The 12,649-nt window shown below is 51.5% G+C and overlaps 1 protein-coding gene and 1 pseudogene across 29 annotated transcripts in view, besides 2 other annotated features; both read left to right on the forward strand.

Moving 5' to 3' along the window:
* The window catches only part of MINK1 (misshapen like kinase 1), a 64,722-nt gene that overhangs the window by 37,808 nt on the left and 14,265 nt on the right, over positions 1-12,649 (forward strand). For 28 of the 29 annotated variants that reach the window (NM_001321236.2, XM_006721531.2, XM_006721532.2 and 25 more), the window contains 3 exons: positions 7,170-7,235; positions 9,837-9,893; positions 9,985-10,110. In NM_001321236.2, the coding sequence (NP_001308165.1) occupies positions 9,879-9,893; positions 9,985-10,110 (141 nt within the window). In that variant the 5' untranslated portion in view covers positions 7,170-7,235; positions 9,837-9,878. Of the gene's footprint in view, positions 1-7,169; positions 7,236-9,836; positions 9,894-9,966; positions 10,111-12,649 lie in introns of all 29 variants that reach the window. The other variant, XM_017024708.2, reaches the window with a different exon arrangement.
* Positions 10,918-10,967: a silencer, noted in NCBI's record as "silent region_8048". NCBI's record gives its function as "represses an Ori minimal core promoter by ATAC-STARR-seq in GM12878 lymphoblastoid cells {active_cell/tissue: GM12878}" and the evidence as "EXISTENCE:reporter gene assay evidence [ECO:0000049][PMID:35858748]".
* Positions 11,148-11,197: an enhancer, noted in NCBI's record as "active region_11550". NCBI's record gives its function as "activates an Ori minimal core promoter by ATAC-STARR-seq in GM12878 lymphoblastoid cells {active_cell/tissue: GM12878}" and the evidence as "EXISTENCE:reporter gene assay evidence [ECO:0000049][PMID:35858748]".
* On the forward strand, positions 11,828-12,169 carry RN7SL784P (RNA, 7SL, cytoplasmic 784, pseudogene; annotated as a pseudogene).

Raw genomic sequence — 12,649 nt, forward strand, 5'->3', positions numbered from 1 at the left:
AGTTTATTCCCTTTTTTTGTTTTGTTTGTTTTAATTTTTTTTTTTTTTTTTTTTTTAGAGGCAGGGTCTCACTCACTCTGTCACCCAGGCTGGGGTGCAGTGGTGCTATCATAGGTCACTACTGCCTTCCGCTCCTGGGCTCAAGGGATCCTTCCACCTCAGCCTCCCATGTAGCTGGGACTACAGGTACATGCCACCTTGCCTCACTAATTTTTTAAATTTTTTGTAGAGATGTGGTCTTATTATCTTGCCAAGGTTGGTCTCAAACCTGCCAAGCAGTCTCAAACCACTTGACCTCAAGTGATCCTCCCGCCTCTGCCTCCCAAAGTGCTGGGGTTATAGACATGAGCCACCATACCTGGTCTTCATTTCTTTTTATTGCCAATATCATTCTATTATATAGATATACCACATTTATCTGTTCATCAGTTGATGGATATTTGGGTGGTTTCTACTTTTTGGTTGTTAATAATCCTCCTGTGGGCATCCATCTACATATTTTTGTGTGGATATATGTTCTCAGTTTTCTTGAGTATCTACCTAGAAGTGGAATGGCTGAGTGATATGATAACTCATTGTTTAACATTTGAGGAACTGCCAAACTGTTTTCCAAAGTGGCTGGACCATTTTACATTCCCAGCAGCAGTGTATGACAATTTCAGTTTCTCCATGCCCTCAGCAACGCTTTTGATTGTCCATCCTTTTCTAGATGGGGTAGGGAGGTGATCTCACTCTGTTGCCCAGGCTGAAGTACAGTGGCATGACCATAGCTCACTGTAGCCTCAAACTCCTGGACTTATAGGATCCTCCTGCCTCAGCCTCCTGAGGGAAATACAAATCAAAACCACAATGAGATACCACTTCACACCTACTAGGATGGCTCCAATCAAAAGGATGGACAGGCTGGGTACAGTGGCTCACTCCTGTAATCCCGCACTTTGGGAGGCCGAGGTGGGCGGATCACTTGAGGTCAGGAGTTTGACACTGGCCTGGACAACATGGTGAAATCCTGTCTCTACTAAAATACAAAAAATTAGCCAAGTGTGGTGGCAGGCAGCTGTAATCCCAGCTATTCAGGAGACTGAGGCAAGAGAATCACTTGAACCCAGGAGGTGGAGGTTGCAGTGAGCTGAGATTGCACCACTGCACTCCAGCCTGAGCAACAGAATGAGACTAAGTCTTAAAAAAAAAAAAAAAAAGGATGGACAGAGTCAGGCATGGTGCCTCACCCCTGTAATCCCAGCAGTTTGGGAGGCCAAGGCAGGTGGATCTCTTTAGCTCAGGATTCAAGACCAGCCTGGGCAACACGGTGAAACCCCGTCTACATAAAAAGTACAAAAATTGGCTGAGCGCAGTGGCTCACGCCTGTAATCCCAGCACTTTGGGAGGCCGAGGTGGGTGGATCACGAGGTCAGGAGTTTGAGACCAGTTTGACCAACATGGTAAAACCCCGTCTCTACTAAAAATACAAAAAATTACCCAAGTTTGGTGGTGCGCGCCTGTAATCCCAGCTACTCAGGAGGCTGAAGCAGGAGAATTGCTTGAACCCAGGAGGCGGAGGTTGCAGTGAGCTGGGATCGTGGCACTGCACTCCAGCCTGGGTGACAGAGACTCTGTCTCAGAAACAAAAGAAAAATCAACTCCTCAAACATCCACCCTTTTTGGCTTCTTCCCCTCCATGATGATGAACGATCTTCCCTATTTTGAAAACCCTATTGTCTGACTTTGCTGCCAGCTCTAGCTGTCATCTGATTTTCCCCCTTCCTCTCAAGGTTAGACTTCTCCAGAAAGGGTGCTGCCCTCATTTCCTCAGCACAGCCCTGTCTCCTCCAGCCCCCGCTGTCTGCCCTCTGCTCACACAGCGGCAGTTCCCAGTGGTTTCCGAGCTGCTGAAGTCAGTGGGATTTTTTTCAGTGCCCTCTGGCTGCTCTGCCGCATTCGAGGCCATCACTCCCCTTATCCCCCTGCAGCCTCCATGACCATCTCCTCTTCTGGCGTCTGTTCTGCTGCTCTCACGTGTTGCCCTTGGCCATCCACATTCTCCCTAGATATCTTGTTTGTATCTCCAACTCTTACACTCACGAATGTCTGTAAATTGTATTTACAGATCCTTGTTTCTAACTGCACAATAGAATGTACCTGTGTATCCTTTAACATCCCCAATTCAACATTCAAACCCAGCCTGTTCTCCCACAGCACAGCATGACAATAGAATGTACCTGTGTATCCTTTAACATCCCCAATTCAACATTCAAACCCAGCCTGTTCTCCCACAGCACAGCATGACAATAGAATGTACCTGTGTATCCTTTAACATCCCCAATTCAACATTCAAACCCAGCCTGTTCTCCCACAGCACAGCATGACAATAGAATGTACCTGTGTATCCTTTAACATCCCCAATTCAACATTCAAACCCAGCCTGCTCTCCCACAACACAGCATGGTCTTCGCCACTCTTTTTTCTTTTCTTTTTTTTTTTTTTTTTTTGAGAAGGCGTCTCACTCTTTCACCCAGGCTGGAGTGCAGTGGCGCAATTTCGGCTCACTGCAACCTCCACCTCCTGAGTTCAAGCGATTCTCCTGCCTCAGCCTCCCAAGTAGCTGGGTTTACAGGTGCCCACCACCATATCCAGATGATTTTTGTATTTTTTAGTAGAGACAGGACTTCATAATGTTGGCCAGGCTGGTCTCGAACTCCTGACGTCTGATGATCCGGCGTTCTCAGCTTCCCAAAGTGCAGGGATTACAGACATGAGCCATCACGCCCAACCCTAAGGTGGACTTTTTACACAATCCAACCCCCTCTTAGCTTGTGGGAGAGGACCGAGGCCTCAAACAGTTAAATACTTGCACAGAGGCACACGACTAGTGCCAGAGTTGAAAACCCCTCTCCCATGCTCTTTCCACCACACCAAGCAGCATTTCAGCGGCTTTCGTGCTTTCGGTTGCTGTTTATGATATATAATCGTAGACTGCCACATTTTCATATTTGAGTACTTGGCCAATCTATAAAATTATAAGGTTTTATATTTCTCATATATTGGTGAGCTCCCTTTTGTGTCTAATTCGGGAGTTATTACATAGTTTGTGCTCAGGAAATATGTAATGGATGAATGAAATGAGATACGATTGCCTTACAGGTTTTCCCTGCTTAGGGCTTAGCCCAGTGCAAGGCAAATGGAGGCACTCATTCAGAAGATATTTAGTGGTTGGATAATAACGGGGCATCGTTAAATGTCAGGCTGAGGTGTTGGGACTCTCTAAGCATTGGGGAGCCCCACTACCAGTTCTGGGCAGAAGAGTAAAATCAGGAAAGCGCCATTTTGGAAGAGTTAAATCAGTGGCAGCAGAAGGAAGACATGGGGGAGGCTAGAGTTCCAGGAGGGAGGACATGAGGGATTGGTCTGAGTTGGTGGACAAGCCAAGCACATGTTGAAGGGAGAAAGGACAGGGTGGCTGCGATACAGGAAAGGGAGGAGGAGGAGGAGGATTAGGCAGAGGCTGGACTGTGGTGGGAAAGCGGTGCTGCTATTGAAACATGGAGCATCTGGGTGGGGAGGGGGTGAGAGACCACAACCAGAGTGCCACGTGCGGGACCCCAACTTGCTTCTCTGAATCACCCTTTCCAGTAGGAGTTTTCAGGAAACCGACTTGAAACCCATTAAATGTCGATATCTGAACCCAGGGTGTCTGACCTCAAATATTCCTTCCTCCCTCAGTGCCGCCCAGACACGAGAAGGAGACAGATTGGGAGTCAAGGTTACAAAATTAAAATGTACTTGTAGTGATTTGACTTGATGGTGACAGATCATTATGGCTCTAACAGGCCCACGGTATTTTCCCTCTTAGATTAGGAGTGTTCAGAAAATTATGACCCTAGATCCTTTTTCCTGTCTCCCTCCTTCTCAGAAAGAGCTACAGTTTGATTCAAGAAAGGACTTCGCAGCAGTCAGTTCAGACGCCCCGGAATGGATGAGTTCTTCTGTTGGGGAGCTCTGTAGGGAACTCTATGGTCTTTGAGCCTCTAATCTAGAACTGAAGACGGATGAGATGACTTTTTTCAGGTTCCTTCCAGCTCTCAGGGTCAGAAAGACCTCTTGTTAGCCCCCTGCACTGCAGTGACAACACCTCTCTTTCCTGTGGATCCTACTGTGATTTACACCCGTTAAATATTGTTTTAGCTGTGCATGCTGGGTCATGCCTATAATATTAATGTGTTGGGAGGCTGAGGTGGGAGGATTGCTTGAGCCCAGGAGTTCAAGGCTACAGTGAGCTGTGATCATGCCACCGCACTCCCACCTGGGCAACAGAGCGAGATCTGACTCTAAAAAAACAAAAATGAGGCCGTGCGCAGTGGCTCACACCTGTAATCCCAACACCTTGGGAGGCTGAGGTGGGTGGATCACCTGAGGTCAAGAGTTTGAGACCAGTCTGACCAACAGGGTGAAACCACGTCTCTACTAAAAATACAAAATTAGCTGGGCGTGGTGGCACACGCCTGTAGTCCCAGCTACTCGGGAGGCTGAGGCAGGAGAATCATTTGAACCCAGGAGGTGGAGGTTGCGGTGAGCCAAGATCGTGCCATTGCACTCCAGCTGGGCAACAAGAGAAAAATTCCATTTCAAAAAAAATGAATAAATTTGTTAGGTTTTTTTTCCCCCCGCCGAGACAGAGCCTTGCTCTGTCGCTTTGGTTGGAGTGCAGTGGTGTGATCTCGGCTCACTGCAACCTCCACCTCCTGGGTTCAAGTAATTCTCCTGCCTCAGCCTCCCGAGTAGCTGTGAATATAGGTGCCCGCCACCACGCCCAGCTAATTTTTTGTATTTTTAGTAGAGACGGGGTTTCACCATGTTAGCCAGGATGGTCTCGATACCCTGACCCCTTGATCTGCCCGCTTCAGCCTCTCAAAGTGCTGGGATTACAGGCGTGAGCCACCGCGCCCGGCCAAGATTTTTTTTTTCGTAACTTTAACTGAAGCCAAATAATTGAATGTAGACCCACAAAGTTCTTGGTCTGGTCAGCCCAGTCCCCTTCAGAGCACAGAGAAGGAACCCCCTTCAGCTGTCAATACTTCCTCCCGAGCAGGCTGGGCTGTTTCCTCAGGCTGCCGCGTGCCAGGCCTCAGTGAGGTCCTAGACATTACCTGGTGAGCAAGGAGGGCTCAGTCCCTTTCTCCAGTGAATAAGACAAGTAAATGTAGAGCACAATGCCTCGTGATACATGCTCTGATGGGGCAGGCACAGGGTGCCGGGGCACGTCTCCGCTCTCCAGCTCCTCTTTGAGAAAATGGAAAAAGTGCACAGTGAGGACATTTTTTAAAAGCCTTGGGCTGGTGTCTCTCTGGTCTTCAACACGCCCAAGTCGTCTTCCTTGGGCTTATTACTTCAGTGGATGAAGTGCTTTTATTGGCATGGATGTGGGCTTTTTTGGTCGTGGGATTTTTTTTTTCCTCCCAGAAACCCTATGTTAGCTTTCAAAATCAAGGAGAAAGGAGTTTTAGATTATATGCTTTTAGGATTATCAGCACAGAGGCCACGTGTTGCCTGGAGAGTTTATTCCCAAGTGCCATCCTCACTTTCTGCCTCCGCTCGGTCCCTGCAGCGGTGGGGACGGGCCCACCCAGTGAAACACCAGGACTGTCAGAACTGTCGGCTCTGAGGCAGGCGTGGTGGCTCACACCTGTAATCCCAGTACTTTGGGAGGCCAAGGCAGGAGGACTGCTTGAACTCAGAAGTTTGAGAACAGTCTGGACAACATAGTGACACCCCGTCTCTACTAAAAATAAAAAAAACTAGCCAGGAGCGGTGGTGCATGCCTGTGGTCCCAGCTGTTCAGGAGGCTGAGGTGGAGGATTGCTTGAGCCCAGGAGACTGAGGCTGCAGTGAGCTGTGATTGTACCACTGCATCCAGCCTGGGTGACAGAGTGAGACTCAGTCTCAAAAGAAAAAAAAAAAAAAGAGCCATCATTCTGCAGGAGGTGCAGGAGTGTGGACAGTACTGGGCTGTATCTCTCTTCAGCTTGCAGCTCCACCTCCCAATTTCTTTCTCTCAAAAAAAAAAGGTTCTGCCAGGAGGGTGTGGGTGGCCTCCCGACCGCAGCTGTGTTGCTGAGGCCTGGCCTGCCTGCTCTTGGCCCAGGGGGAGGACGAGCCTCTTTAGAGGCTTTGTTTGAGCCCTTCGGGCTGTCTCCTTCTGGCACTGCTTGGCTCAGAAAAGTAGGAACAGAAAGTTCTCCCTTCTCAGAGGCCCTTTCTCACCATCACCTGCTGACTCCCTCCGTCCAGGTCCCTTTGGCCCCAATTGCCTCAAACCCTGGCCTGGAAGCCCTCAGTCTCAGGGGGACTGGGAAGAGGGAAGGACAAAAGGATGGTGGCCCTGAAATTCCTGCTCCCTGCTAGCTTTCCTCATCCCTGCTTTTAAGAAGTAAGATAATAATAATGGTCATTAACTTTTATTGGGCACACGCTCTGATGCCAGGAACCATCTGAAGCATTTGATGGGCATTTCTTCACTTAAAATGTGAGTACCAACCCCAGAGGAAGGTACTCGGGCACCCTCATTTTGCACATGAGGGTACAGACGCAGTTTCTCGGTGGGTTTGAAATCGGGAACATGTCTTTGAAAAGCCATCTGCGCTCTGACTTCCATGTTCTCTCACTTCTTTTTTTTTTTTTTTTTTTGAGACGGAGTCTCACTCTGTCGCCCAGGCTGGAGTGCAGTGGCGCAATCTCAGCTCACTGCAAGCTCTGCCTCCCAGGTTCACGCCATTCTCCTGCCTCAGCCTCCCAAGTAGCTGGGACTACAGGCGCCCGCAACCACGCCCAGCTAATTTTTTGTATTTTTAGTAGAGACGGGGTTTCACCGTGTTAGCCAGCATGGTCTCGATCTCCTGACCTCGTGATCCACCTGCCTCGGCCTCCCAAAGTGCTGGGATTACAGGCGTGAGCCACCGTGCCCGGCCACTCACTTCTTCCAACTTTTCCCGTAGAACATTCACTCTGAACCAATCCAGGAAAAGGGCAGCCAGCCACCAGGGTTCCTGCCACGTGCCCTCCTGATATGCTGGTCTTCACTCCCATATCTTGACTGGATACCACTTTACCCCCCTCTAGCTCTGTAATCCTTTTCTAAAGTCTTGACACAGTATTCTTCTGTCTCCTGCCCCTAGGACCCTGCTGGGATCTTTGAGCTTGTGGAGGTGGTCGGCAATGGAACCTACGGACAGGTGTACAAGGTGAGACGAATGGTGTGGAAGTATGACCTCCACATCTGCAGGGCAGTCTTGGGAGGAGTGGAAGGAAGTAGATTCCTGGTCTGCAGGTCTGAAGGGGGCTATGGGAGATGCTAGAGTCTAGGGCCCTGGAAAGGTAGAGTGGGGGAGAGGAAAGAGCACCCAGAAGGAGGTACTGTTGATGCCTCTCTCTACCTGAGTGCAGAGCCAGTCCCGGACATGGTGGGAACAGGCCAGCAGCCAGGCAGGGTGGCCTGCAGCAGTGAGAGCAGGTGGAAGGGCATACGGCCTTGTGTGTCAGAACTCTCCTGGGATTCAGAGAGAGCTAAGGCCAGAGATGTGGGTTTGGCCTCTCCCCAGACCACAAAGAGACCCAGGACTTTGAGGTAGTGGGACCTAATGGGTGGCCTTCTGCAGAGGGGATGTGGCCTCTGCTCCCACAGCTGGCCTGCTGGGGCCAGAGCTCAGGCTTTTGGCTTTTGAGCTGCCTCTGTCCCTGACAGAAGTGGCAGGTTCTCAGCCACTGATGGTAGCTTTTAGGTTGGCCAGCCCAGCCCTCTCGTGTGGCCTGACCACACTGCTCACACTTGGATGGGGGGAGCCACTCCAGCGGGGAGTAAGGTGGCCTGACCACTGCTCACACTTGGATTGTGGGAGCCGCTGCAGCAGGGAGTGAGGTGGCCTGACCACTGCTCACACTTGGATTGTGGGAGCCGCTGCAGCAGGGAGTGAGGTGGCCTGACCACTGCTGACACTTGGATTGGGAGGAGCCGCTGCAGCAGGGAGTGAGGTGGCCTGACCACTGCTGACACTTGGATTGTGGGAGCCGCTGCAGCAGGGAGTGAGGTGGCCTGACCACTGCTCACACTTGGATGGGGGGAGCTGCTCCAGCAGGGAGGGAGGATGCTCAGGGTGAATGCTGCCTCTGACTGGAGCCCCCTGGGGCCCGTGGCTTTTTCATCTCCAGACAGAGTGCTTGATACTGTCACAAGTCTCTTCTACATCTCTAGCCCCGTGTTTCCTGTGTCGCTGAGACCACCTGCCTTTCTCTTACACTCCTTCTCTTGCAAACTTTGGGGAAACAGGCACCCCACCCGCAATCTCTTGCCTTGTTGTTGCCATGGGAATAGTGGTGCCATGTGCTCCTGCGTCTCTGGGCTTGGGGTCTTGAATGGCTGAGGATAAAAATTACCCATGGGCTGGCAAAGCCAGTCCATCCCCATGAGGGGCCACCTTCCTCCATCCTGCTCGTCCCCAGGAAGCCTTTGGGCATTCCTCTCCAAGCCTTAGATGCTCCCACTGGGAATTTCAGAAGGATGTTGGGGGAGGAGGGCAATGGCTGGGGACACACTCAAGAAGAGGAAGTTTCTTCCCACTAGGGCTGGTGACAGGAGCATTAGCACATGTCGGCGGGCCCCTCTGTGTTTCTCTGAGTTCCCTAAAATCTCAGCTCTGTCTCTGTTCTTTCCCTATCGACAAGAATAAAAAGCTTTGTGGGTGAAGTTGATTCTGGGAGAGGCCTCCTGTCCAGAGTTGGTGAGTCAGGAAAGCACTGCAGCATTTTCTCTTGCTTAGGAGAAGAGGGTGAGGCAAAGCCCCTCCCTCCCTAGCCTCCTTCTCCTACTGCCTCCATCCTCCGTTAGGGTGGAGAAGTATCTTTCACGCCCTGCTCTAACTTTCAGACTGTAGAAAGTCCAAGCCAGAGAGGCTGGAACAGAACATAAATGTTTCTCCCTCATCTGTCTTGAGTTTTTATGGGAGGAGACCCTTCGCCTTTATTGAGCCTGTAACTTGGAAGTCCACTGTAGGTGGTTTTTCTGTTGGCCATGATGGCTCAGGAGCGCTCTCTGTCCACTCCCATGAGCAGCACATTCACTGAGGTGTGTAGCCACAATGAGGGGTACTTGCTTTTTTTCTTTTCTTTTTTTTTTTTTTTGAGACGGAGTCTTGCTCTGTCCCCCAGGTGGGAGTGCAGTGGCACAGTCTCGGCTTGCCTCCCAGGTTCAGGCAATTCTCGTGCCTCAGCCTCCTGAGTAGCTGGGATTATAGGCGCCCACCATGACACCCAGCTAATTTTTTGTATTTTTAGTGGAGATGGGGTTTCTCCATGTTGGCCAGGCTGGTCTCGAACTCCTGGTCTCAAGTGATCCGCCTGCCTCGGCCTCCCAAAGTGTTGGGATTACAGGCATGAGCCACAGCGCCCGGCTGAGGGGCACTTTGTAAGATAGAAAACAGTCGGGCCGGGCGCGGTGGCTCATGCCTGTCATCCCAGCACTTTGGGAGGCCGAGGCAGGCGGATCACGAGGTCAGGAGATCGAGACCATCCTGGCTAACACGGTGAAACCCCATCTCTACTAAAAATACAAAAAAATTAGCCGGGCGAGGTGGTGGATGCCTGTAGTCCCAGCTATCCGGGAGGCTGAGGCAGGAGAATGGCGTGAACCCGGGAGGTGGAGCAGGCAGTGAGCCGAGATCGCGCCACTGCACTCTAGTCTGGGCGACAGAGCGAGACCCTGTCTCAAAAAAAAAAGCTGTGTCTCCTAGAGTCAAGCCCTCTCTACGCTCCACCCTCTGAGCATAGACTCAGATCCCTCTGTCCCGCAGGGTCGGCATGTCAAGACGGGGCAGCTGGCTGCCATCAAGGTCATGGATGTCACGGAGGTAGGGAGTGGAGCTGGGCAGTGGGAGGGTCGGACCAGCGAGAAGGGAGTGTTGGGGGAGTCTCAGGGCTCAGCTCCTCCCATCTGCTTAGGACGAGGAGGAAGAGATCAAACAGGAGATCAACATGCTGAAAAAGTACTCTCACCACCGCAACATCGCCACCTACTACGGAGCCTTCATCAAGAAGAGCCCCCCGGGAAACGATGACCAGCTCTGGGTGAGAAACGCCCCCCTGCCCGCCTTCCCTCCCCGCAATCCCTGTCTCCGGGCTGTTCACTAGGACTCAGTATCAGTGCCCAGCATCTCTCCTTGCCAGCTACCCTCCCTCCGGTCTACCCAGCCTCCCCTGTCCCTGGACCCAGAGGGGCCTCCTGCCTCATGGATGGCCCCGCACTCCAGCCCCCATGAACTGCAGCATCTCATCCTTTGAGTGTTTTGTGGGGAGGGGTCCTGGCGTTTGCCCCAACCCTTCCCCTAACCAGTGTCTCACACTGTGCGATCGGCTCTTAATAAATAAATATAATCCTGGCAAAGGGGAGAGAGACCGTGGGGAGGCCGTCCATCCATTTTCCTGCCTTTGAGCACAGCTCCTGGGAAAGCAACAGAACCAAAATATTTGTGGGAGATAACAGGGCCCAGACCCCTCCCAGAACCCCAGATGCTACAGAGCACCCAGCCCTTCTGGGTCATCATTCAAAACAGAGCCTGCTGCAGAGCTTGGGGCCTCCCCCAAATTCCTCCTGCCTGGCCCAGAACATTCCTAAGAGTCATTCCCCTCCCTAGCCTGGGCACTGGTGCTGACATGTTCCCCCAGCCTCACCCTTTGTGGTACTGAGCCCAGTCCCTGAGGATGGAGCAGCAGGGAGTGTGGCAATGGCTGTCGGGAGTTTTGGCGCTGACGCCAGGTCTCCCCTCCCAACAGCCATTCAGAGAAGCACTTACTAAGCACTTCTGTATACTCTGTATAGATGAGCATGAGCCATGGTCCTGGCCTCCAAGGCCCTTTGGCTTTTTGGGAACACACACACTCATGCACACAAAGAAAGGGAGAAAGGTGACAGGGAGGTCTACCTGCCAGGTGTGTGTGGTGGAGATCGCGGCAGGCTAGAGGCATTAGTGGCCGGGCGCCCCCTTCTGGACCTGTTGGGCACAGGTCCTCCCCTCCTCTCACTGTGCTCTGCTCTCCAAGGAATAGGCACATGCAAATTACTTTTATTGCATATGCAAATATATGTGTCCACCCAACCTTTTCCTGCATTGGATGTGGCTTTTAGTGAAAACTTGGACAAGCATGCTGATTTCCAGGAAGACTGGTTGGAGCCATCTTCTCTGCCTGCGGGTCTCAGCTGCTCTCCCTGGGAGGTGCAGACCCAGAGCCCTCCTCATCTCCTGGCCTTGTTACTCTCTGTGCTGGAGGAGTTTCTCTCAGGGTCTTCCCAGGTTCCCTGTTGCAGCTGTCGAGGTAGACCCTATGCAATCTTTATGTCTCTAGCAGACCTAGAGAATCACTATTTCTTAGCCCCCTTTCTGCTTCTAAGTCAGGGACTGGCAAACTTCTTCTGTGAAGGGCCAGATGGTAAATATTTCAGGCTTTGCGGGTCATATTTGCTGTCCCAGCTACACGGTTCTGTTGTTGTACCACGAAAGCAGCAATAGTCAGTACGTAAACGAATGAGTGTGGCTATAACCCCAGCACCCTCACTGCGGTCACTCACGTTTCAATGTTTTACACTTTCACATGTCATTTAGGATTCCTTTTTTTGTTTTTTCCCGCAACCATTTAAAAATGTAAAACCCAGGCCAGACGCAATGGCTCAAGCCTGTAATCCCAGCACTTCGGGAGGCTGGGGCAGGAGGATCACCTGAGGTCAGGAGTTCAAGACCAGCCTGGCCAACACGGTGACACCTCGTCTCTACTGAAAATACAAAAATTAGCCGGGCGTGGTGGCATGCGCCTGTAATCCCAGCTACTTGGGAGGCTGAGGCAGGAGAATCGCTTGAACCTGGGAGGCGGAGGTTGCAGTGAGCTGAGATCGCGCCACTGCACTCCACTCTGGGCGACAGAGTAAGACCCTGTCTCAAAAAAAAAAAAAAAGTGAAAACCATTCTTGACTTGCTGACCATATAGAAGCAGGCCTTGGGCCAGCCCTGATCCAAAGCAGAAGTTCCTTTTTTTTTTTTTGAGACAGAGTCTTGCTCTGTCACTCAGGCTGGAGTGCAGCGGCGCGATCTCGGCTCACTGCAACCTCTGCCTCCCAGGTTCAAGCGATTCTCCTGTGTCAGCATCCTGAGTAGCTGGGATTACAGGTGCCCACCACCACGCCCGGCTAATTTTTTGTATTTTTAGTAGAGATGGGGTTTCACCATGTTAGCCAGGATGGTCTCGAATTCCTGACCTCATGATCCGCCCGCCTTGGCCTCCCAAAGTGCTAGGATTACAGGCATGAGCCACTGAGCCCGGCCCAAAGCAGTAGTATTTTGTTTTGGGTTTTTTGTTTGTTTGTTTTTTGAGACAGAGTCTCACTCTGTCACCCAGGCTGGAGTTCAGTGGCGCAATCTCAGCTCACTGCAAGCTCCGCCTTCCGGGTTCACGCCGTTCTCCTGCCTCAGCCTCCCAAGTAGCTGGGACTACAGGAGCCCGCCACCACGCCCGGCTACTTTTTTTTTTTTTTTTTTTTTAGTAGAGACAGGGTTTCACCGTGTTATCCAGGATGGTCTTGAACTCCTGACCTTGTGATCCACCCACCTCGGCCTCC

The sequence above is a fragment of the Homo sapiens genome, chromosome 17, assembly GCF_000001405.40.
Source record: "Homo sapiens chromosome 17, GRCh38.p14 Primary Assembly".
Lineage (NCBI taxonomy): Eukaryota > Metazoa > Chordata > Mammalia > Primates > Hominidae > Homo > Homo sapiens.